The 466-nt window shown below is 51.7% G+C and overlaps 1 annotated feature.

Annotated features, from left to right (window-relative positions):
* Positions 1-162: a silencer, noted in NCBI's record as "fragment chr17:43414932-43415093 (GRCh37/hg19 assembly coordinates)". NCBI's record gives its function as "represses an EF-1alpha promoter that drives an FKBP-Casp9 reporter gene in an ReSE screen in K562 erythroleukemia cells {active_cell/tissue: K562}" and the evidence as "EXISTENCE:reporter gene assay evidence [ECO:0000049][PMID:32094911]".

Genomic DNA, 466 nt, shown 5'->3' with positions numbered 1-466 from the left:
ATCACTTGAGGCCAGGAGTTCAAGGCTGCAGTGAGCTATGATCACACCACTACACTCCCGCCTGGGTGACAGAGCAAGACCGTGACTCTTTTTTATTTTATTTTATTTTATTTTTTTAAACGGAGTCTCACTCTGTCGCCCAGGCTGCTGGAGTGCAGTGGTACAATCTCGGCTCACTGCAACCTCTGCCTCCCAGGTTCAAGTGATTCTCCTGCCTCAGCCTCCCGAGTAGCTGGGACTACAGGCCTGCGCTACCACACCCGGCTAATTTTTTTATTTTAGTAGAGACGGGGTTTCACCATGTTGGCCAGGCTGGTTTCAAACTCCTGACCTCAAGTGATCTGCCTGCCTTGGCTTCTCAAAGTGCTGGGATTACAGGCGTGAGCCACCATGCCCAGCCATGACACTGACTCTTAAGAAAAAAAAAGAGCCAACTCACAGCCTTCAGCCTCCCCCCGCCCCCCCA

Source organism: Homo sapiens, chromosome 17, assembly GCF_000001405.40.
Source record: "Homo sapiens chromosome 17, GRCh38.p14 Primary Assembly".
Classification (NCBI taxonomy): Eukaryota; Metazoa; Chordata; class Mammalia; order Primates; family Hominidae; genus Homo; species Homo sapiens.
This window is presented reverse-complemented; position numbering and strand designations above follow the sequence as displayed.